Source organism: Homo sapiens, chromosome X (genome assembly GCF_000001405.40).
Source record: "Homo sapiens chromosome X, GRCh38.p14 Primary Assembly".
NCBI classification, from domain to species: domain Eukaryota; kingdom Metazoa; phylum Chordata; class Mammalia; order Primates; family Hominidae; genus Homo; species Homo sapiens.
Genome location: NC_000023.11, coordinates 43,215,137 through 43,237,875, shown reverse-complemented (window position 1 = coordinate 43,237,875; position 22,739 = coordinate 43,215,137). Strand labels below are relative to the sequence as shown.

Here is a 22,739-nt window from a genome sequence, read left to right as displayed (position 1 = left end):
TACTTTGGCATACTATGTAATAATAAAAAGATTGAGAAAGTTCTGTATGTGTTAGCAAGGAATAGTATCTAACATGTCTTTATGTAAACAAATTCAAGACAGAAATATATATATACCTATATGCACATATGTGTTTGAAAGTTAATAGCATGATTCTATTCATATTCATAAACATATATGTAAGTATATACATATTATTCTCTATTTATACATAGAAAAGGACTAAAAAATATATATCCATATGATACATTTGCTTACTTTTAGTTAGGTAAGACTATATTGAGTGTTGGGGCACAGTAAATGGAACATTCACATTTAATTCTCTACAACTCTCACTGTATAAATCTATTATCATAAGACTATATTTGTGTTTAGCTATTAAATTTATGGAGAAGATGAGGCTTTAGAATATAAATAAGTAGCCCATGTGATCTACAAATTTGGTTCTGAAGTCCTTAATGACCAAAAATGGTAATATCCTCCATTTCAGTTTGCTTTGTCCATGGGAAGGGGGAGATTCCAATTACCTGGGGCATAAACATTTTACCTGGTATTATTGTATTGTAGTATAATGAAAAATAAGTATTTGGTCATTGTCCTTGGTTCTTGGCACAGAGCCCCTGAAACCCTTGGAATTTCCTGAGTGATGGGTGTTTTTGTATGCTAATGAGATGATTGGTGGCTAAGGGCCCCTAAATAGCTTTAGGATGGGGGCACAATTAGAGGGTTGGAATTTTCAGCCCCCTCACCACATTCCCCTACCATGTTTGGGGAAGGGAGAGGGACAGGAGATTGAGTTCAAAAACCAATGGCCAATGATTTAATCAATCATGACTACATAATGAAACCTTTATAAAAATTTCTGAATGACAGTCAGAGAGCTTCTGGGTTAGTGAGTATGCTGGGAAGGTGGTGTGCTCAGAGAAGGTATGCGAGCTCTGTGCCCACTGACCCCATACTTTGCCCTATGCATACCTTCCATTTGGCTGTTCCTGAGTTGTATCCTTTATAATAAACTGTTACTAGCAAAGCACTTTCCCGAGTTCTGTGAGTTATTCTAATGAATTATTGAATCTAAAAAGGGGATTGTGTGAACCCCCAAATTTATGGCTTGTCAATAAATATGGGTGGAAACATTGAACTTGTGACTGACATCTGAAGTGAAGGCAGACTTGTGAAATGAGCCCTTAACTTGTGGGGTCTATGCTAACTTTAGATAGGTAGGGTCTGAATTGGATTGAAGTGTCAGACACTCAGTTTATGTCAAGAATCAGTGAATTTGTGTTGGTAAAGTTACCACATATTTAGTGTCAGGGGAAAAACACTTTTCAAATATGAATAACTTTTTCATATGAGTCTCTAAGTAGGCATATTGAGCAATGTACCTGACAATTTTCTTCAGAACACATCTACATTAAATGAAATAGTGAATTCATTAGAGCTGTTTCTTGGGGGTGTCACTTAATACAACTAAGCCATAATGCAAAAGTTCCAACCTAAAGAATCAATCATGCAAGGATCAAAGTTCCTCCAGTTAGTACCTTCGGTTAGTTCCTCCAGTTGGTACTTCTTGCTAAATAATATCATTGGCCATCAGTGAAAGAGGCAGTTGGAGGAAGGAGAGTTACAACTGTACCATCAACTCATATATAATGCTAACTATGAATCTTGACCCAAGTGGAACTCCATCAGTAAGGATAAAACACTAGTCAAATGGGAACTTTTGTAAACATTAATGCTTTGTAGTAAGACCAGGGCTCATTTTTCAAAAGCCAGCTTCTTCTTTTTTTGAGATGGATTTTCGCTCTTGTTGCCCAGGCTGGAGTGCAATGATGCGATCTCGGCTCACTGCAACCTCTGCCTCCCAGGTTCAAGCGATTGTCCTATCTCAGCCTCCTGAGTAGCTGGGATTACAGGCACCCACCACTATGCCTGGCTACTTTTTTGTATTTTTAGTAGAGACGGGGTTTCACCATGCTGACCAGGCTGGTCTTGAACTCCTGACCTCAGGTGATCTGCCCACCTCAGCCTCCCAAAGTGCTGGGGTTACAGTTGTGAGCCACCACGCCCGGCAAAGTCAGCTTCTTTATAGGTCAGGTTTAATGATTTGAAAGGCATATTTACATTACTCCCTCTCATTGTCAATAACTTCTACTAAGCCCCTTTTAGATACAGAACAAAGCACAGAGTAGACGCTGTTGATGCTCTGTTTCATATTTCTTTGGCCTACATAAATTCACCTGCAGATGCAAATAAAGACAATTACCAGAACCTGTTAGCTTCCCAGCCCAATCACCAGTCTGTCTTCTCGGGCTGAGGATTTTATCCAGCATGGAAACTTAGGCTACTATATACAGGCACAACATGGAAGTATGGGGAGTTCATGCTATTTGAGACAAATTCAGCCAATGAAGTATGGGATCTGTGAATAAGTGCTCCAGCGTCCCTCTCAACCCCACCCACCTCCACCACAGTCCTTGGGAAACCTCTTCCATGTGATATTTCAGAGGTGCCCTAGCAAAATTAAGCTCCAGTTGCCCACAGCGATAACCTGCTAATGAATACCCACTTCATTAGCTTTCCTTTTGTATTTTCTCACTCACTTCTCCATTCTGCTTCCTATGCTCACCTCCCAAATAAAAAATTTGCACCTGTGTCCTCACCTCAGAGTCTGCTTTCGAGAGGGTCCAAAGTAAGACAAAGAACATGTGTTTATTTTTGCAATCTCATTTGAAATAAATTAGAATAAGGTAAAGTACTACTTAGGAAGCAACTATGAGCCCTCTTAAGACAGAAAATTTTTTAAAAGATTTATTTAAAAGCTTAGGAATCAGTATCTGACATTGTAGATAAAACACAAAAATCATATTTCTAGTAGCCAGTGTTATAGCCTGACCGTGAAAGATCTGTTTTCCCTGTTAACATTCCACAAAACCAAATTAAAGATTGAACCCTTTGGAGACCCTTGTACCAAATGAATAAAGAGCTTGTCTTTGTCAGTTCCTTCAATCAATCTTCTTGAAGATGTGATAATCTTGCAAAAGCAAAAAGCAAAGTCAAGTGATTTATTTAAACTTGTCTACCAGGTGATCACTGCCTTAGTTGTCTTTTCAGAAATGGTAGCAGCCCAGAGGGTTTCCCATGCTCTAAGCCTGAAATTAGTTCTGGAGAATAAAGAGAAATTTGCTGTCCCAAGTTATGAGATCTTGAAAGACAGTGAGTAATATGTGGGTGCATGGCCACTCTCCTAAGCTTGAGAGACAGCTGAGAAAATCATATTCTTTTATTATAAAACCTGTGTTTGCTGAGGTAAGAGAGGTTCAGAGAAGAAAATCAAAGGAAAAGATAATGGCCAACATTTGGAAATGTTTTGTAGTAAATGTGATAAAATTATGAAATCTGTTTTCCCCCTGTCCTGCAAATCTCAAATATGCAGAGCCTGACACTTGATTCTAAATGAAAAATTTATCTCTAAGGGTCAGAAATACTTCAGTTCACATATGGCCACAAGGTTTTAAATGATGACTCATTTGTTTTTATCCCCTCACTTGCTTTTAATTTCAAAAATATCTTTCACATAGAAAGCTTTCCAATATGCTCCATTCAACACACAAGTTAGGTGTTGATGTTTGTGGACAGATATCTGTTTTGAAGTAAATGCCAAGTTTGATCAGGATCTATTGCACTTGCTTTCTCATAGCTGTTTATTTTTCTTTCTGGAAAGGTAAAATTGCATTCAGAAACCAAGCAAACCTTATTTCAAAGATCCTTATCATTTCTTGATGCCAGCCCTTCCTAAAATCAACTACTGTCCTGAAACTGTATTGGGATAATCAAAGCAATACTAAAGGCTTTATTCTATCAGAATCTTAAATATCTTAAAGACTGTAAATTTTGATAGTGTTATATTCAGATCTGATAATGGCTCATGGCATAATTGGAAATATAATTTCTTAATTTCTCTGTATCTCTTGTCACAGCCATAAAATCTATTTGCCTCTTCAGTTATATAAAGTCATCCTTATCAGCTATTGAAAGTATTTGTTAAGTATCAATTTATAAATGGAGCCACGCTTGGCAGAGAAAGGCAGATCATAACTTCCTTTGGAATATGGTTAATTTATTTCAATGCACCACTATGGTAGACTGAATACGTTTATGATACATAGATAATTGAATAATAAACATTTATCTGAATGAATAAGCATAACGTTCAGGTGTTTGCATTATGTGGAAGTAAGGAATTACTGAATTTATATAGAAATTAGTGAGTGGAAAGCCGACATATGTTTTATGTTTGGACATGGTAATGGGAAAACTTTTTTACTCAGGCAATTAATTCATGAAAGCTTTATTGAGTACATGGGGTTTTGAAAGCAACGATGACACTCGGCAGTGATGTGAAGAGGTAAAATAGCACTTTTAACTGAGGATGGCAGTGACCCCTCTATTTCCTTGGCTGAATAAAGTGTTCCTTAGGGTCCCATGGGTGGCAGGTACACACAGAACAGGGCTTCACAACTATGAGGGGGCAAACTATTTCAATGATACTCCCATTTCAAGGTTAAAATGGGTGGAAGACAGAGGGAAAGAGAATACCGTAATTCTGATGTTATTTTCAACAAATTTGTATGCTTTTGTTGATATTTCTAAACACTTGACTATTCACGCTGTGCAAATTTGTTTCAAAATGGTTAACATGAAACTACCTATACCAAGAAAATGGTTTCAAATTAGGAAATGAATAACCACACTGCTGTTCTAATGAAATTAGTCTAAATTGTAGCCAAAAACTTCTCACCATATTTATGCATTAAAACTCTAGGAAAACAAGGTATTTTAAGACTTATTTTGGCTACCTAAAAATATGACTTTAAGTCACTATTTGTAACAATACAATTTTTCTAATAGGAAAGGTTTTCTAATTACAAAGATTCTGTGACATTCGAGGGGCATAAAATTCCATTTAAATAAGGCAAACTGCTTATATAAGAGGGAAACTAAGAAGCATTCAATGGAAATATACAATTTTTAGATGAGAAGATAAATTCATGAAAAATGAAGCTTGCACTACATAAAAAAAAGTTATCATGTAATTTTGTCTCTATGTCATGTGTGAAGAAAGGAACCAGAATTTTGAAAAGGCAACTGCAATTTCCCTGTTCTCTAATGGCATCTCCAATTTTCCTGTTCTCTAATGACATGGGCAGGCACAATAGACGCTTCAGTTCAAGACAAAATATGTAGATAACTAGTTACTGAGTCTTCAAGTCCCTGAGTCACTACTCAGAGACATTGAAAGAATTGAGTACAAATTGCTAGGATGGGCTATAGGTTATCAAAGGTTTCATATGAATCTTTTCTACTCCCTCCTGACTTTTTGGCATGCATTTCTATGAGTTTCAACACATGTATAGGTTAATGTATCTATTAATACCACCACAATCAGGATACATAGCAGTTTTATCAGCCCTCGAAAATGACTTCATGCTCTTCCTTTATAATCACACCCTCTTCCCCCCTCTCAACTTTTGGCAACCACTGATTTGTTTTGTCTCCCCAGAACATGTTATAAACAGAATCACATACTATGTAACTTTTACAAAATTGCTTCATTCACTTAGCATAATGTCTTTGAGATTCATTGATGTTGTTCCATGTATCAATAATTTATCCCTTTTCATTGATGAGTATTATTCCATTGCATGGGTATATCACAGTTTGTTTGTCTACTCACACTTTAAAAAAGGTATATGGGTTGCTTCCAGTTTGGGACAATTATAATAGAGCTGTGATATATATTAATTTGCTGGTTTTTGTATGAACATAAGTTTGTATTTCTTTGGAGTAAATACCAAGGAATAAGATTGTTGGATAGTATGGTAAATGTAGGTTTAACTTTATAAGAAAACTGCCAAATGATTTCACAGAGTGGCTACACCATTTTGCATTCCCAGGTGAAGGTTCCAGATGTGTCACAATTTTGCAAACAGTTGATATTGTCAGTATTTTTTAGCTGTTGTAATATATGTGTAGTGGTATCTCCTCCTTCTTCTTTGCATTTCTCTAATAACTAAAGATGTTAAATGTTTTCTCACATACTTATTTGCCGTCTCTGTATTTTCTTTGGTGAAGTGTATGTTTCAGTGCTTTGCAAAATGTTTTTGAAATTTTTATTGTGATATAATTGTAAATTCACATGCAGTTGTAAAAAACAATATGGAGAGAGTCTTTGTATGCTTTACCCAGTTTCTAACAATGATAACAATTTGCAAAAGTATAGTATAGTATCACAACCAAGATATTGACATTGATACCTTATAAACATATACAATTGTTATTAAAAATAAAATTTTATAGCATAGTATAGTGCACAATGTAACCTTCTGAGACTGGCTTTTTACACTCAGCATGATTTCTCATAGATTCCTCAAATTGTTGCAAGTATCAATAGTTTGTTCTTTTTCATTGCTGAGTGTGTATATATCACAGTTTGTGTAACTATTCATTCCTTGAAGGGCATCTAGGTCGATTCCAATTTCTGACTATTACAGATTAAACTGTTACGACATTTATGTTCAGGTTTTTGTATGATCATGTTTTCATAACTTTGGAATAAATATCCAATAGTACAATTGCTGGGTCGTATGGTAGTTGCATGTTTAGCTGTATAAGAAACTGCCAAACTGTTTTCCACAGTGCCTATACCATTTTACATTCCCATCAGCAACGCAGGCGATTCAGTGTTTACATCATCTCAAGCATTTGGTGCTATATCTATTTTTTTGTTTATTTTAGTCATTCTGATAGATGTGTAGTGATATCTCATTTTAGTATTAATTTGCATTTCCTTAGCTAATAGTGTTGAACATCTTTTCATGTGCTTATTTTCCATCTGTGTATCCCTTTAGGTGAAATGTTTTTTCAAGACTTTTGCCCATTTTCTAATTGGATTGTTTGTGGTTTTGCCGTTGGGTTTTGGGACTTCTTTATATCCTACATAATCGCCCTTTGTCAAATATGTGGTTAGCAAATAATTTCTGCCAGTCTGTAGACTGTCTTTAATCCTCCTCATACGGGATTTCACAGAGTAAAAGTTTCTAGTTTTAATGAGGTACAATTTATCAATTTTTCCTTCTATGAATCATGCTTTTGGTGTCAAGGCTAATAAAACTTTGTCTAGTATTAGACCCCAAAGATTTTTTCTCTTGTTTTTTTTTTCTGTATATTTTACACTTAAGTCCATTATCCATTTTAGGTTAATAGTTGTATAAGGTGTGAGGTTTAGGGCAAGGTTCATTTTTTGCTTATGGAGGGCCAATTGCTCCCACACGATTTCTTGAAAAGGCTATCCTTCCTCTATTGAATTGTATTTGCACCTTTGTCAAAAATCAAGTGGTTGTACTTGTGTGGAAGCAATTTCTGTGTTCTCTATTCTATTCCATTGATCTATGCATCTGTGCCTTCACCATATCATATTGTCTTGATTATTGGACTATATAGTAAGTCTTAATATTGGGTAGAGTAAATCCTCCCACTTTATTATTCTTTATCAACGTTATCTTAGTTATTCCAGGGCCTGTGCTTTTCCCTATGAGTTTTAGAATAAGCTTCTATATGACTATAAAACACCTTGCTTAAATTTTGATGGGAAATTTGTTAACTCTCTATATAAATTAGGAGAGGATTGACAACTATACTGTGTTGAGTCTCCCAATTCATGAACATGGCAAGTCTCTTCATGTATTTAGGTTTTCTCTGATTACATTCATCATTTTGTAATTTTGCAAACAGACCCTATATGTGTTTTGTTAACTATATACTTAACTCTTTTATTTTATTTGGCAATTTTAGTAGCATGGTGTCTTAAATTTTGGTTTCTGCATGTTTTTTATCAATATATGGATATGCAATTGATTTTTGTTGTTTGATGTATTGTTCTAATATCATAATATCCTGTGACTTTGAAGAACTCACTTAGACCTAGGAGTTTTTATTAATAGATTTTCTTTCTTTCTTCTTTTCTGACCTGTATACCTTTTTATTTCTTTACTTTTCTTTATTGCATTGCCTAAAACTTCCATCACTATGCGGAATAATAGCAGTGACAGTAGACATCCTTACTTTGTTTCTGAGCATAGCTGGGAAACGTTCATTCTTTCACCATTAAGTATAATGTTAGGTGTAGGGTTTTTGTAGCTGTTCTTTACCAAGTTAAGGAAGTTGTCCTGTTTCTATTTTCCTGAGACTTTATAATAAATGAGTGTTAAAATGTATTAAATGCTTTTTATGTATCCATTGACAAAATCATTAATGTTTCTTCTTTACCTTGTTATTATGGTGGAATGAAATTATTTGTTTTTAAATATTTAACCAAGCTTCGATCCTTGGAATTAACCCCAGTGGTTATGGTGTATAATTCTTTACATCATAGAATTCAGTTTGCTAATATTTTGTTAAGGAATTTTATATCAAAGATTATGAGAGATATCGATCTGTACTTTTAGTTTTGGACACTATCTTTGTCTGCTTTTGGTGTCACAGTAATAATAGCTTCATAAAATTAATTGAGAAGTGTTACCTCTTCTATATTCTGCAAGGGATTGTATATAATTGCTTTAATTCTTTTTGAACATTTGGTAGAATTTTCCAGTGAAACCGTCTAGGCCTAGAGTTTCTATTTGGGGAGTTTTAAAAATTATGAATTCAATTTATTTAATAGTCATAAGGCAATTCAAATCAACTATTTAATATTGGGTGAGCTGAGGTACTTTATGTTTTTCTAAAAGTTGATCTATTTCATCTAAGTTGTCAAATGTATGAGTATGGAATTGTTTGAAGTATTTCCTTATTATCATTTTGGTGTCTGCAGGGTCTGTAATAATACACTCTTTCATTCCTGACATTAGTTATTTGTGTCTTCTCTTTTTTCTGTTGTCAGTCTTGCTAGAAGTTTGTCAATTTTATGGATCTTTTCAAAGAACCAGCTCTGTGTTTTATTGTTTAACTTCTCTCCTCAAAGCACAGATAAGCATCCTCCCTGTTCATTTTAAGAGCTAAAAGGCTTCATGTGCCATTTAGCATTGAATGGTCACTCATCGCAACAAAGTTGCCTTGGTTGTTATGTTTTGAAAACTCACATGTTTAACATAATCCATCTAGTTATGTCACAGTTGATTCCTGGCCAGAAGACTATGTTATGTCTACCTCCTTATATACACGTCTTGTTACTTTGGCCATGAGGAAATTATTCCTCCATGACAGAAAGCAGTGTCAACCACAGCCTATCCTGATGACAGCTCATGTCAAGTGGAGGAAGAGGAGTGCAAAGAAAAGAATGCTTTAGATGTTTTGATAAGCAGCCTGGTTTTCAATATGTGCCTGTTATGGGGTGAATTGTGTCCCCTCAAACGTCATAGCCCCCAGGTATAGTTCAGCACATTTCATTTTCCTGTGGATAACTCTGGTCTCTTGAGAAAAGTACATGGAGAAGCTGCTGGAAAGATTTCCCTATAGTTTTCTCTTTCGGAGTTGGATAAGACTGTGAATTGCATAGCTATTTACTCATCTGCTCTAAGATGCCCTGTAGCACTTTTCCAATGGCAACTGAGAGTCTCTTTGATTGTAGCTCCCAGATCTTTTTTCTTATCCTAACTTCTTCTAGCTACTCAATAAATTAATCAGTTAAAGTTCAAAGGATTTATTAAATTGAAAATCCTCAACCTGAAGAAAAGAAATAAACCCAAGCAACTTTTGTGAGACTTCTCATGTGTCCTTCAGCAAACTTAATGTTAAACAAGAGTACTTTTCACCTTAAGCAATGGGGACAGATGGAGAAAACCAATGTATTGAAGACTAATGAATCCACTACTAAACTTTTTCTATCTTGTAGCTCTAAAATCGCACTGTTTAGAATACACTATGGTAGCCACTAGACATATGGCTACTTGAACTTGAATTGGTTAAAATCAAAATTAAGAATTTAATTTCTCACTCACATTAGCCACATTTCAAGTGCTCAACAGACACATGTGGCTAGTGTCTACCATATTGGACAGCATAGACTTAAAGAACATTTCCATCATTGCAACATGTTCTACTGGTAAGTGTTGCTAGACAATGTCTACAAAAAAGACAATGTCTAAACAATATCCAGACTAATGTGTCTACCACTTTATGTCTTATGTTTACATATACATGTACACATACAGAAGGTGTATATATTAATGTATACCCTTAGGCAGTCTATATAACAGTACATTTTAATATAAAAAATAGTCCACTCCCAATCATAATACCTTATTTTAATATATTTCCTTCAACTTGCATATATTTTATGCTCTCATATATGATATGCCACTTTGTGTTCTGCTGATTTTACTTAACATTATATGAAACATTTTGTTTATGTTTCTACATAAACCTATCATTTTAATGCCTGCATAATATTCCATCACTTTACTATACCATAATTCATTCAACCAGTTCTCTAATATTAGACTTTTTCTTAGTGTTTCTTTCTTTCTTTATCCTGATTAAGGTTACAAGGCATTTTCTGTGTGTAAATGTTTCTGCTGTTCTCTTATATTTCATAATTATTTCCTTTATTCACACGTGCTTTACAATGAATATCCCATTTAGAGCCTTTATAGTACCCAGAACAGAAAGCTGTCTCTAAGTTAATCCAAGAACACTCAAAACAAATAGTTTATGGAAGACAGTGGATTTTGTAGTTATTTAGACTGTGCGCCTTTGGTGGATGATCTTGATTTAATTGTGCAATTTTCATTATACTGCAGCTTTCATTCCCTTATATCCTACAATGCTTTCAGCCTCAGAGACAGTTTCTAGAATAGAAGTCATATGAACCAACAGAAATAACTGTCAGTCCCTATTTGAATTTCATCTGTAAGCTCAGTCCTCCTTCCACCTTTGAGTTATATTCCTGACAGAAGTGGGGAGACTAGGATCTGTTGGCCAAATTTTGTCTATGCTGTGCCTATGTTATTCCCCAATTTCCCTCTACTTACACCCAGAACTAAGATCTAGGATTCCACAGGCATCTTTATGGCCTCTTACTCAGGCCTAAAGCAAAGATTGGAACACCTACTGCTTTGCCATTTTTTCCAATTTATAGTCTCCAAGACTAGTGCTTGCTTCACCTTTTAAGGTAAATTTTAGGAGGAGGGTCCAAGATCTCAGCCTTAAATATAGGGTTTAAGGGTGTGTTAGTTTGTTTTGCATTGCTATAAAGGAATACCTGAGGCTAGATAATTTATAAAAATAAAAGTTTTATTTGGTTCACAGTTCTGTAGGCTGTACAAGAAGCATGGTGCCAGCATTTGCTCAGCTTCTGTTGAGGGACTCACAAAGCTTACAATTGTGGCAAAAGGTGCAGCTGGAGCAAGCATGTCACATGGCAAGAGAGGGAGCAAGGGAGAGGGAGGAGTTGCCAGGCTCTTTTTACCAAGTAAATCTCACAGTAACTAATAAAGCACAAACTCACTCATTACTGTGTACCAAGCCATTCATCAGGGATCCATTCCCGTGACCCTAACACCTCCTACTAGGCTCCACCTCCAACATAGGGGATCGCATTTCAACATGAGATTTGGAAGGCACAAATATCCAAACTATATCAAAGGGTATAACAATCACCCGGAGTCAGACAATTGAAAGGACTTACTTCACATGTAAGGCTTTAATAAGGGCAAGTACAGCAGAAGAAAGAAAATACGGTCAGTCACTGAGGGGTTTCACATATCCAGGAGCAGCTCACAGAGTCCTTTCTCAATTGCAAAGGATGTGCTTTGCATTCAGATTATAAAAATCTAAGATATGTGCAAGATATCTTAATATCAAGGAAGCTAAGACACAAGTTTATTGAAGGTTTTATCCTCCACTGATCACAAATAAAATCAGAATGTGTAAATGATTAAAGCAGGTGCAAACCATCAACCTATCCATCCTTAAACAATGTAGACAAGCCAGCAGAGGATACCTCCAAAGGAATTTTGGACTTTGTATAGCACAGTATAAATCATTAACCAGCACATTCCATCCTTATCTTAGACAAGGGTCAGTACCAGACTTTCAGACATCTCTGGAGATAAGCATTTATCTATCTCAGTCCAGGTGCAAGTTAATACACTATCCTCACATACAGAGATAAGATATCTAGGGGTTATGAATTTTGAGGGGGCAATATCAATGTATTGAGGATACATCCTCCATATTGCAGTGTTGCAATGATGGAAATGTGCTTTAAATCTATGCTGTCCAATATGGTAGACACTAGCCACATGTGTCTGTTGAGCACTTGAAATGTGGCTAATGTGAGTGAGAAATTAAATTCTTAATTTTGATTTTAACCAATTCAAGTTCAAGTAGCCATATGTCTAGTGGCTACCATAGTGTATTCTAAACAGTGCAATTTTAGAGCTACAAGATAGATAAAATTTAGTAGTGGATTCATTAGTCTGCATTTTTTTCCCAATGCCATTAATATTTTTTCTGTGATCAGTTAGGGTCCTTAAATGTACTTTGTCATAACACTTCTCCCTTTGGAGCAAGAAATCATGTAAAAAGTTCACCCTGGTATACTGCAAAGGATAAAAGAACTCCATTTACTCGCTATTTCAGTGGAATTTTGGTTCATCAGTTTTGGTATATCAAAAATCTTTATTGTAATCACAGATATACTAGAGACCTATGGTTACCCAAAAAGTTGTCCCTTTCTGGTACAAAAACATAAGAGACCAGAAAGACAGCAGGTTATACATGGGCATCCTCACTTATCTTGGTCTGTAAGGTACGTGATCAAAGGGTTCTTGCACAGTCAGTAACCTGGTAAATATGAATGAGAAAGCAAACAACCTTAGTTCTCCCACTTGAAAAAATATGAGGACTCCATATAATTTTTCATTTATCTCTGGAATATTTTCCTCCTGTGTCTCTAGTAAGCAGTGTCCACCTGAGTTAGGTGGATCTCATCCTGACTTCTGCATTATCATACTGCTTTTTCTTCTATATTTTTGTGTATTCATGTTCCCAACCATACTTCCCTGCTCCTGTCCTCCACCTTCACCCTGGAATGCCATTTCTATTTCCAAAGGAAGTATTGAGCTAGATCTTGAAGGGTAACATAATTTAGATTACAGATGAGTAAGGGAAAAAAATGACTCAAACCCAGTGTGATGTAATTACCAGCCTCCTTCAGAGCAGTCATTGTTATGCCTGATAATTTGCCTGGGGGTTGTTCTGCTAAACCTATCTACAAATTTTAAAAAATTGGTGATATTATTTACTACCTACTCAGTTATGTATCTAGCAGCAGTCTAAATATCTTTAAACAAACATTCTTTTTCATTTTTTACTCTTTCTAACAATGATTTCTTTTTCCAATCAGTCTTTTTTCCTGTGTCTCCACTAAGAGTGAAATATTTCACTTGTCTGAGTTAGAGGCTTAGTCTCTTGCATCAAACTTAAAATAAAACTTTGAAATAATGAATTTGTTATATATATTTTCCTTAAGAATTTGGAGGCACTACCAAGATGGCTCAAGTCACTATCTTGGTACTCACTAGAGTGAAGTAAGAACAGCTCTGAGTCAAGTAACACCAAACCAAGAATGACACTGAAAACTTCAGATCTCCGTGGCTTTACTATTCTGCAGCTACTGCCACTGACTGTTTTAATGAGACATAGAAATTGGACTCAATTTTAGAGCTTTTGCTTTTCAAAATCTCATGGTGAAAACTTTTAGAGAAAGTTTGGAGCTAGAGTACTGGGTGTTCTCATGTTTTGGACAGTTACAATAAATGTCACCACCCCTGCTTCTCCCACGAATGCCTGGAAATGTCATTTGATGTCTGAAGGATGTCATAAGACTGGAGGAAAGGAGATTCGGGTGTGGTACCATAGGCTTTTGGTCAGCAATTATATTACTAAGGGATGACAAAAGCCCCTAGAAAAGATATAGTGGGCAAATAATCGATTATTTCTTTTGGTTGCAGGAAGTTATTTTGTGTTTCTTCCATAGGGATTTTGTGTCTTATTTTCATTTTTCTTTTAGCTAAAATTGTATAATTTGCCCAGCAATTTTTCACATGTTGGCCTATGTCTATAAACAGTCATTTATAATTCTTTGTGTTTGTGGTCAGAGAGATTCTAGATACACAACTGCCTGTTTGCTTAAAATATCTCTGGAAACTTAAAGGTAATTGATCACAGGAATTGGTCATTTGTGTGCACCATGAAAACATGAGTTCAAACAGACAGGTCCATTTTGAGATGAAGAAGCAATGGAAAATCTGTTCAACTAATATCACAAAAATATCCTATCTTCTTCTGTGACATTAAAGAGAAAGACAGTTCCCTGTGCTGGGCACAGTGACTGAGGGATTGGCTAGAATAGGCAGAGATAGAACCAACTCTGGAGATATAAATAATGTTATCAAAGGCAAACTATTTACTTACTTAATGTTGCAGGTTGGGTTCTCCTGGATGTAGACCTTGAGATAGGGCTTAGCATGCATAATATTTATGAAGGGATCAACACCTGTGGGAGGTAAGAGGTTTAAATAAGCATGAGCAGAGGGAGAAGGCCAACCTGCAGTGCCAGCCTAACAAAGATTTGGGGCAACCCTATGGTGGCACTCTACAGTTAAAATAGCTCTTCAGAGTTGTTCCTTTTTGGGTAGAGAGGTCTGGACATTGCCATCTCCATTTGGATCAGGGTAGTGGGGGAAATTTGTGGCTACCTTTGGCTGACACATCTTTGACATCTCTCCCAGAAGCTGAGGCAAATCTTTCCCTGAGGTAGGATCTAGGTAGAGCATAAAGGGATCTCCCTCCTTAGTTATACATTTTTGTGGAACTAAATTGACGAATCTGGATGGAAATGAACAATATTGCTAAATTTATCACATTTAATGGAGCTCATATTGTAACTGGTCTAGGAACTAAGTTCATATAATTTTAGAATAAATAGTCTCAAGAATGCATAGACAAAAAGGAAGAAACAAAAAAACTGTGCCTAAAAGGGAACAATTAAGTTTTAGGTATATGGGTGAACTTTAGGTTACTATGATAAGAAACAAAGAAATGAGCATTGATACATTGGTATAAGGCCAGTTTTAAGAAACTATTCTAAATGATGACTTTAAAGCAAAATTAAAATAGTTTTAATCTTTTCTGATAAATATGAGAGGATTATAAAGGTTCTTTTATTACTTTTAGTTATAGTAAGTCATGGGCAAATTAAACTGTTTTGATAGATTTGTTTTAAAAGATAGTTACATGTTTTCTTTCTTACTTTATCACAGTGTAGAATATAATATAAAGTACTTTATATATACAGTACTTGATTTTATTTTCTTACAAAAGTGTCTGGTTAACTGGAACTTTTCTATACTTGTCTTATGGGGTCAGATAAATAATCATTACTGATACAAAAATTTTAGGACATGTAAATTTAAACATGGATGTTCAACTAAATTGATTTACAATAACTAATATCCTTATGATTTTTTGCTATTGTTGTTCTTGTAAACTCCAAGCACAGTTTCAAATTATGTGAACCCAAGAATTACTTAACTTGTACCAGGTGAAATTTCAGGGTGTTATACTTTTCTGGGAAGTTTTTTTAATATCAACAGTGACTACACTGTTATTTAATTAACTTACAGCTAAATAAGGATCTTGAAATTATAATTTATTTATTTATTTATTTAGAGACGGAGTTCTCTCTCTGTCACCCAGGCTGGAGTGCAATGGCGCGATCTCGGCTCGCTGCAACCTCTGCCTCCCCAGTTCAAGTGATTCTCCTGCCTCAGCCTCCCAAGTAGCTGGGACTACAGGTGTGTGTTACCACGCCCGGCTGATTTTTATATTTTTAGTAGAGACGGGATTTCACCATGTTGGCCAAGCTGGTCTCGAACTCCTGACCTCAGGTGATCCACCTGCCTTGGCCTCCCAAAGTGCTGGGATTACAGGCGTGAGCCACTGCACCCGGCCAGCAATTATAATTTAAAGTCTTCTCTAAGTATTATATTGGTGTCATTAAAAAATAATCTTAGGTTATCTGGAAAATTGTTAAAGAAATCTAAGTGAATAAAGATGAAAACAGCAAAAGTAATTGGTCACCAAACAATAGTTTTCATTTATGTATTCTCATTTATATTTAAATATAGTTGACACTATAGAAAAAAATTCTTATGTGTTTAGAAAAGTTAAAAGCTACAGCTTACATTTTTAAATTAAGTTATAATCTGTTATTTTTTAGTGTGATTGTATATGAATTTTTTTTATTAACAAATTTTATATTTAAGTGAGAGAAGACACTGGTAGCTCAGAAGACAAAATAAAAGGGTCTTTAGAGTAATGTCTGTTCTAAATGTGAGACAATAAAAAGTTATCATTTGCTTTCAGCATATTCTACCCAGATGGCAAATGATTTTTGCCTCACCCACCCTGACTGTGCATTCTCAAAAGAGTCTGTTAATTTTTAGGTTTCTATCTACTTTTGGGAATTCCATGACTAGAGACAACTCTAAGCAAAGTGACATAAAGAACTAAATTCCTGAATGTTTATTATGAAACAATTCTGTTATGGTTGTTACATGGTGTTGCTACTCTCTGGAAGTTTCTTATCCTCACATTGTACTCCCATCTGAAAACTATTATGACATCACCTTCCTTCGAGTTCAGACCTCAAATTTAGAAAAATACAACCAAAAAGTAATCTAGAAATGATTTAAAGTATACAGAAGGATGTGCATAGGTTATGGTTGAATACCATGCCACTTCATAGTAGAGGCCCAAGCATCTGTAGATTTTATTATCCATGGTGGGTCATGGAACCAAGCTAGTGACATCTTGATTTTACATTAGTCTGAGAAGGTGAAGGACAGTGACCCTGAGAGAAGGGAGACAAATGAAGAGAGCACTATAATTATCTTCAGAGAATTTCTAGTCCATGACACAGAGAGGGGGATCACGAAGAGTCCACAGACGCACTGAATTTAAGAGGAGCTGAGAATCTTGGAGAACAAAGTGGCCTAGAGTTGGTAGGACAGAGTGCCAGAAAGGATAGGGCTGTAAGAGAACTCTAGGAAAAGAATTCCAGTGCAGAGTGTTCCCCACTGAGTATCAATTAGTACGTGTGTGAGAAAATTACCTGAGGATGGAGAAAGAATCAGATGAAAGGATTAGAGAAAAAAAATGCTCCCAAAGGGCCAGAAATAGTGCTTTACCTCAAGATTCATAGGATTTAAGCTGGGTGCAGTGGCTCATTCCTATAACCCCAGTGCTTTGGGGAGGTGGAGGTGGGAAGATTGCTTGAGGCCAGGAGTTCAAGACCAGATTGGGCAACATAGCAAGACCCTGTTGTTACTAATTAAGTAAAGAAATAAGTAAGTAAGCAAATAAATGAATAAATAAGTAACTAAGATTCATGGGGGGTTAAATACAGTACACAGAAGGGTCTAACCTCAATAATGGGCAGTAGTCCTAAACTGACCAGTGTTCCAGGCCCACCTAACAAATCTGAAAGCAGAATCTGAAATGACCAAAATGTTTCCAAGTAACTTAACTCTATGAAGAGAAAAATTTTCAAGAAGATTTATAGGAATACAAAGATATCCAGCACCCGGCAAGGTAAAATTAACAATTTATGACATCCAATAAAAAAAAGACAAGTCATACAAAGAGGGAAGAAAATAAGGTTGTATTCACATTTCAATAGGACCCAAAAGAACAATGTGCTTAGGAATAAATTTAACAAAAGAAGTGCAAAACTTGTATTCTGAAAACTACGAAATATTGTTAAAAGAAGTTAAAGAAGACCTAAATAGATGAAAAAACTCTATGTTCATGGATAAAAAGACTTAATATTATTAACATAGACATACTTCCCAAATCGATTACAGATCCACACAATTACTAGCAACATTTCACCAGGCTTCTTTGCAGAAATTGAAGAGCTGATTCTAAAATCAATGAGGAAATTCACAGGGCCCAGTATAGCTAAAATAAATAAATAAATAAAAACTTGACAAATAAAAACAAATTTGGAGAATTCACACTTTCTGATTTCAAAACTTACCACAAAACTCCAGTAATCAAGACAGCATGGTACTGGCAAAAAGATAGAAGTATAAATAAACTAAATAGAATTGAGGGTCCAGAAATAAACTCTCACATTTATGGTCAAAAGATGCCAAGACAATGCAATAGGGGAAAATAGTTCTTGAATAAATGGTGGTGGTATAATTGAATATTCACACATAAAAGAAGGAAGAAGAACACTCTCCTAAATCCACACAAGAAAATTAAATCTGATCTTAGACCTAAATTAAAATTATACAACTTTTAGAAGAAAATATAGGAGCAAATCTTCATGACCTTAGGCTAGGCAAAAATTTTTAGACATGAAAACAAAAGTACAAGCAACAAAAGAAAACATAGATAAAATGGACATCATCAAAATGTAAAACTTTAGTCCCTGAAAGAATACTATGAAGAAAATGAAAAGGCAACCACAAATGGGAGGAAATATTTTCAAATCTTATATTTGATAATGGATTTGTATTCAGGATACTTACCATTCAATGATAAAAAGATAACTCAATTGAAAAATGGACAAATTATATGAACAAATAGTTTTCTGAAAAGATACATAAATGGCCAACAAACACATGAAAAGATACTCAACATTATTAGCCATTAGGGAAATGCAAATCAAAACCACAATGAGATACTACTTTATACTTACTAGCATGGCTATAATAAAAAAGACAGATAACAAGAAGTCTTGGGTAGGATGCAAATATTGATCTCCACAAAAGATGAAGAATCATCAGAATGGTGACTACATGGGTAAATATGTAACACCTTTTCCTCATTATTTAAATCTCTTTAAAGGATAACTTACTCTTCAAAAATAATAAGAATGTAGCCTGAGATTTATAGCATAAATTAAAGCAAAATGTATGAAAACCTAAGTACCAAGGTCAGCAGGGGAGAAATAGATGTGTACTACTCTGAAAGGTGGAAAGAAGTCAGACAAGCTAGCAACTTCAGGATCAAAGGAGTGATTAGTGGTGAATCGTGTGTGTGTGTGTGTGTGTGTGTGTTTGACACATATTTTCCAAACCGGGCACTGGAGAAGCCAGCAACTCAGAAACATCAATAGGCAAACACCAAGGGAAAACAACAACAACAACAACAAGAAATCCTACTTTCTATAGTCTATCTAGCCTAAGAGCCAGGAGAGGAGCAACCTAGATGGATAGATAGAAAATATTTATTATTAGAAAATAGCTCCTCTACCAAAATACCACAGAAAAAAATGTGGCTTAACCTCCAACACTGCCAGAAATGGTTAAATGAGCAAGTGTAGACTTCCTCTCATGTGAGAGTCTTCTCTGTCCCTGCGTCTTCAGAGATAAGAATGTTCTTTTCCTTATCTCTGAAGATAAGAGAGGGCACCTTTGGAATGTTGGTCTTATAACCTGCTTCAGGGACAGCTCAGAAAATCCTTCCTAGATCTTATAATCTGCCTCAGGGGAGAAGGACAAGGGAAGGCTTGAGAGACCTTCCTGCTCCTGCTACTTTCTCAAATGCCAAGGTGCCACATTTTGGGGTAGTCCTGTGCCCCATAACGTTATTATATTGATGCAAATGAGGAAGAAAGGAGCAGACCTGATAACTTTGTAATATAGTGTTTTGACTGTAAGGATAAAGGCAAAAAGTACCGTGTACAAACACTGTGCTTTAGTTGGTAAACTTGTCTAGCATGGGATATGGATTAGCAATTCTGAAACTATGTAAGCACTACAGTGAACAAATAAGTGTACTGTAGAATAGGGATTGGCATACTATGGACTGTGGGCCAAATTTAGCTTATTTTTCTATGGCCCACAAAAAAACTTTTTTTTTCATTATTGAATGGCTAAAAAAATCAATAGAAAAATTATACTTTATAATACGTGAAAATTATTAAAAAATTCAAAGCTGAGGAGTTGTGATAGAGACATTATGGCCCCCAAAGCCTAAAATATTTACTTTTACAGGAAAAACTATCTCTTTACATGAAAAGTTTGCTGACCCTTATAGTAGATAATAAGAGCCAGAATTCTCAGTGTCATGGAAATAAGTTATAAATAAGCAAAAAGGGAGGACCAGAATATACCCTGTGTTGCTGGATTAGAGTTGGAGACATCAGTATAAATTCATATTTAATATACATATAGATAGATACAGAAAGGTAGATAAATATGTATACATGGGTTAGCATACATACATATATTTCCCAGCTCTATTGAGAGGGCTGTATTGTATTAATTCAGCCCAGCTCCCATTCCTGCTATCTGTATTAAATATAAAATTTGACTAAGCAAGAAATTCAATTAATAAATTTAGCACAAAAATATATTCAGATATTTTTCTAACAAAACCAGTTCCTTTATGATTGTTTCCTTCAAAAGCAGAATCTGAGAAAGAAAAATTGAACCAGACTTGGTCTAAGAAAAAATATTTTAACCTAATATATTTCAAAATCTTTTGAAAAATAATTCACATCTCTAATAAAATGCTTAGGCAATTTCTTTTTTCATTTACTTTTCTTCTTCTTCAACTTTTATTTTAGGTTCAGGGGGTACATATGCAGATTTGTTACATCGGTAAATTTTGTGTCACTGGGGTTTGGTATACAAATGATTTCATTACCCAGGTAGTGAGCATAGTACCTGATAGGTAGATTTTCAACCCTCACCCTCCTCCTAACCTCCACCCTCAAGTACACCCTGGTGTCTATTGTTCCCCTCTTTGTGTTCATGTGAACTCAATGTTTACCTTCCAATTATAAGTGAGAATGTGCAGTATTTGGTTTTCTGTTCCTGTGTTAGTTTGCTTAGAATAATGGCCTCCAGCTCCATCCATATTGCTGCAAAGGACAGGATTGCTTTTTTTAATGGTTGTGTAGTACTCCATGGTGTATATGTACCATATTTTCTTTATCCATTTCACTACTGATGGGCATCTAGGTTGATTCCATGTATTTTCTATTGTGAACAGTGCTGCAGTGAACATATGAGTGCATATGTCTTTTTGGTAAAACAATGTATATTCCTTTGGGTATATATCCAGTAATGGTATTGCTGGTTCAAATGATATTTCTTTTTGAAGTTCTTTGAGAATTCTCCAAACCGCTTTCTATAGTGGCTGAAATAATTTACATTCCTACCAGTATATAAGTGTATAAGTGTTCCTTTTTCTCCACAATCTCACCAATATCTGTTATTTTCTGACTTTTTAATAATAGCCATTCTGACTGGTGTGACATGGTATCTCATTGTAGTTTGATTTGAATTTCTCTAATGATTAGTGATGTGGAGAATTATTTTCATGTGTTTGTTGGCTGCATGTATGTCTTCTTTTGAGAAGTGTCTGTTCATGTACTTTGCCCATTTTTAATAGGGTTGTTTGGTTTTTTCTTACTGATTTAAGTTGCTTATAGATTATGGATATTAGACCTTCGTCATATGCGTAGCTTGCAAATTTTTTTCCCATTCTGTAGGTTGTCTGTTTAGTCTGTTGAAAGTTTCTTTTGTTGTGCAGAAGCTGTTTAGTTTAATTAGGTCCCAATTGTCTATTTTTGTTTTTGTTGCAATTGCTTTTGGCATCTTCATCATGAAATCTTTGCCAAGGCCTATGTCCAGAATGATATTTCCTAGGTTTTTTTCCTAGGGTTTCTATAGTTTTAGGTCTTACATTTAAGTCTTCAATCCATCTTCAGTTAATTTTTGTATGTGGTGAAAGAAAGGGGTCCAGTTTTAATATTCTGCATATGGCTAGCTAGTTATCCCAGCATCAGTTATTGAATAGGGAGTCCTTTCCCCATTGTTTGTTATTGTCAACTTTGTAAAAAATCAGATGGTTGTAGATGTGCAGCTTTATTTCTGGGATTTATAACCTGTTCAATTGGTCTATGTGTCTATTTTTGTACCAATTCCGTGCTATTATGGTTACTGTGGCCTTGTAGTACAGTTTGAAATTGGATAATGTGATTCCTCCAGCTTTGTTCTTTTTGCTTAGGATTGCCTTTGCTATTTGAGCTATTTTTGGTTACATGTGAATTTTGAATAGTTTTTTTTCTAATCTGTAAAAAATGACATTGGCAGTTTGATAGGAATAGCATTGAATCTATAACTTGCTTTGGGCAGCATGGCCATTTTAACAATGTTGATTCTTCCTATCCATGAGCATAGAAATTTTTCTCATTTGTTTGTGTCCTCTGATTTCTTTGAGTAGTGTTTTGTAATTTTTATTATAGAGATCATTGACTTCCCTGGTTAGCTGTATTCTTAGGTATTTTATTTTTTTGTGGCTATTGTGAATGGCACTGCATTCTCGATTTGGCTCTCAGATTGGACAATGTTGGTGTATAGAAATACTAATGATTTTTATGCAGATTTTGTATACTGAAACTTTACTGAAGTTGCTTATCAGTTCTAGGAGCCTTTGGGCAGAGATTATGGAGTCTTCTCTGTATAGAATCATATCATCTGCAAAAAGAGATAGTTTGACTTCATCTCTTCCTATCTGGATGCCTTTTATTTCTTTCTCTTGCCTTATTGCTCTGGCTATGACTTCCAGTACTATATTGAATAGAAGTGCTGAGACTGGATATTTTTTTCTTGTTCCAGTTCTAAGGAGGAATGTTTCTAGCTTTTGCC

At 35.2% G+C, this 22,739-nt stretch overlaps 1 long non-coding RNA gene across 1 annotated transcript in view; it reads right to left on the bottom strand.

Annotated features, from left to right (window-relative positions):
* Positions 1 to 11,277: 11,277 nt before the first annotated feature.
* PINCR (p53-induced noncoding RNA) overlaps positions 11,278 to 22,739 on the bottom strand; it is a 49,605-nt gene continuing 38,143 nt past the window's right edge. The window contains exons 5-6 of the long non-coding RNA NR_110387.1: positions 14,479 to 14,560; positions 11,278 to 12,846 (exon numbers count right to left, since the gene is read on the bottom strand). This is a non-coding gene — a long non-coding RNA (p53-induced noncoding RNA). The remainder of the gene's footprint in view (positions 12,847 to 14,478; positions 14,561 to 22,739) is intronic.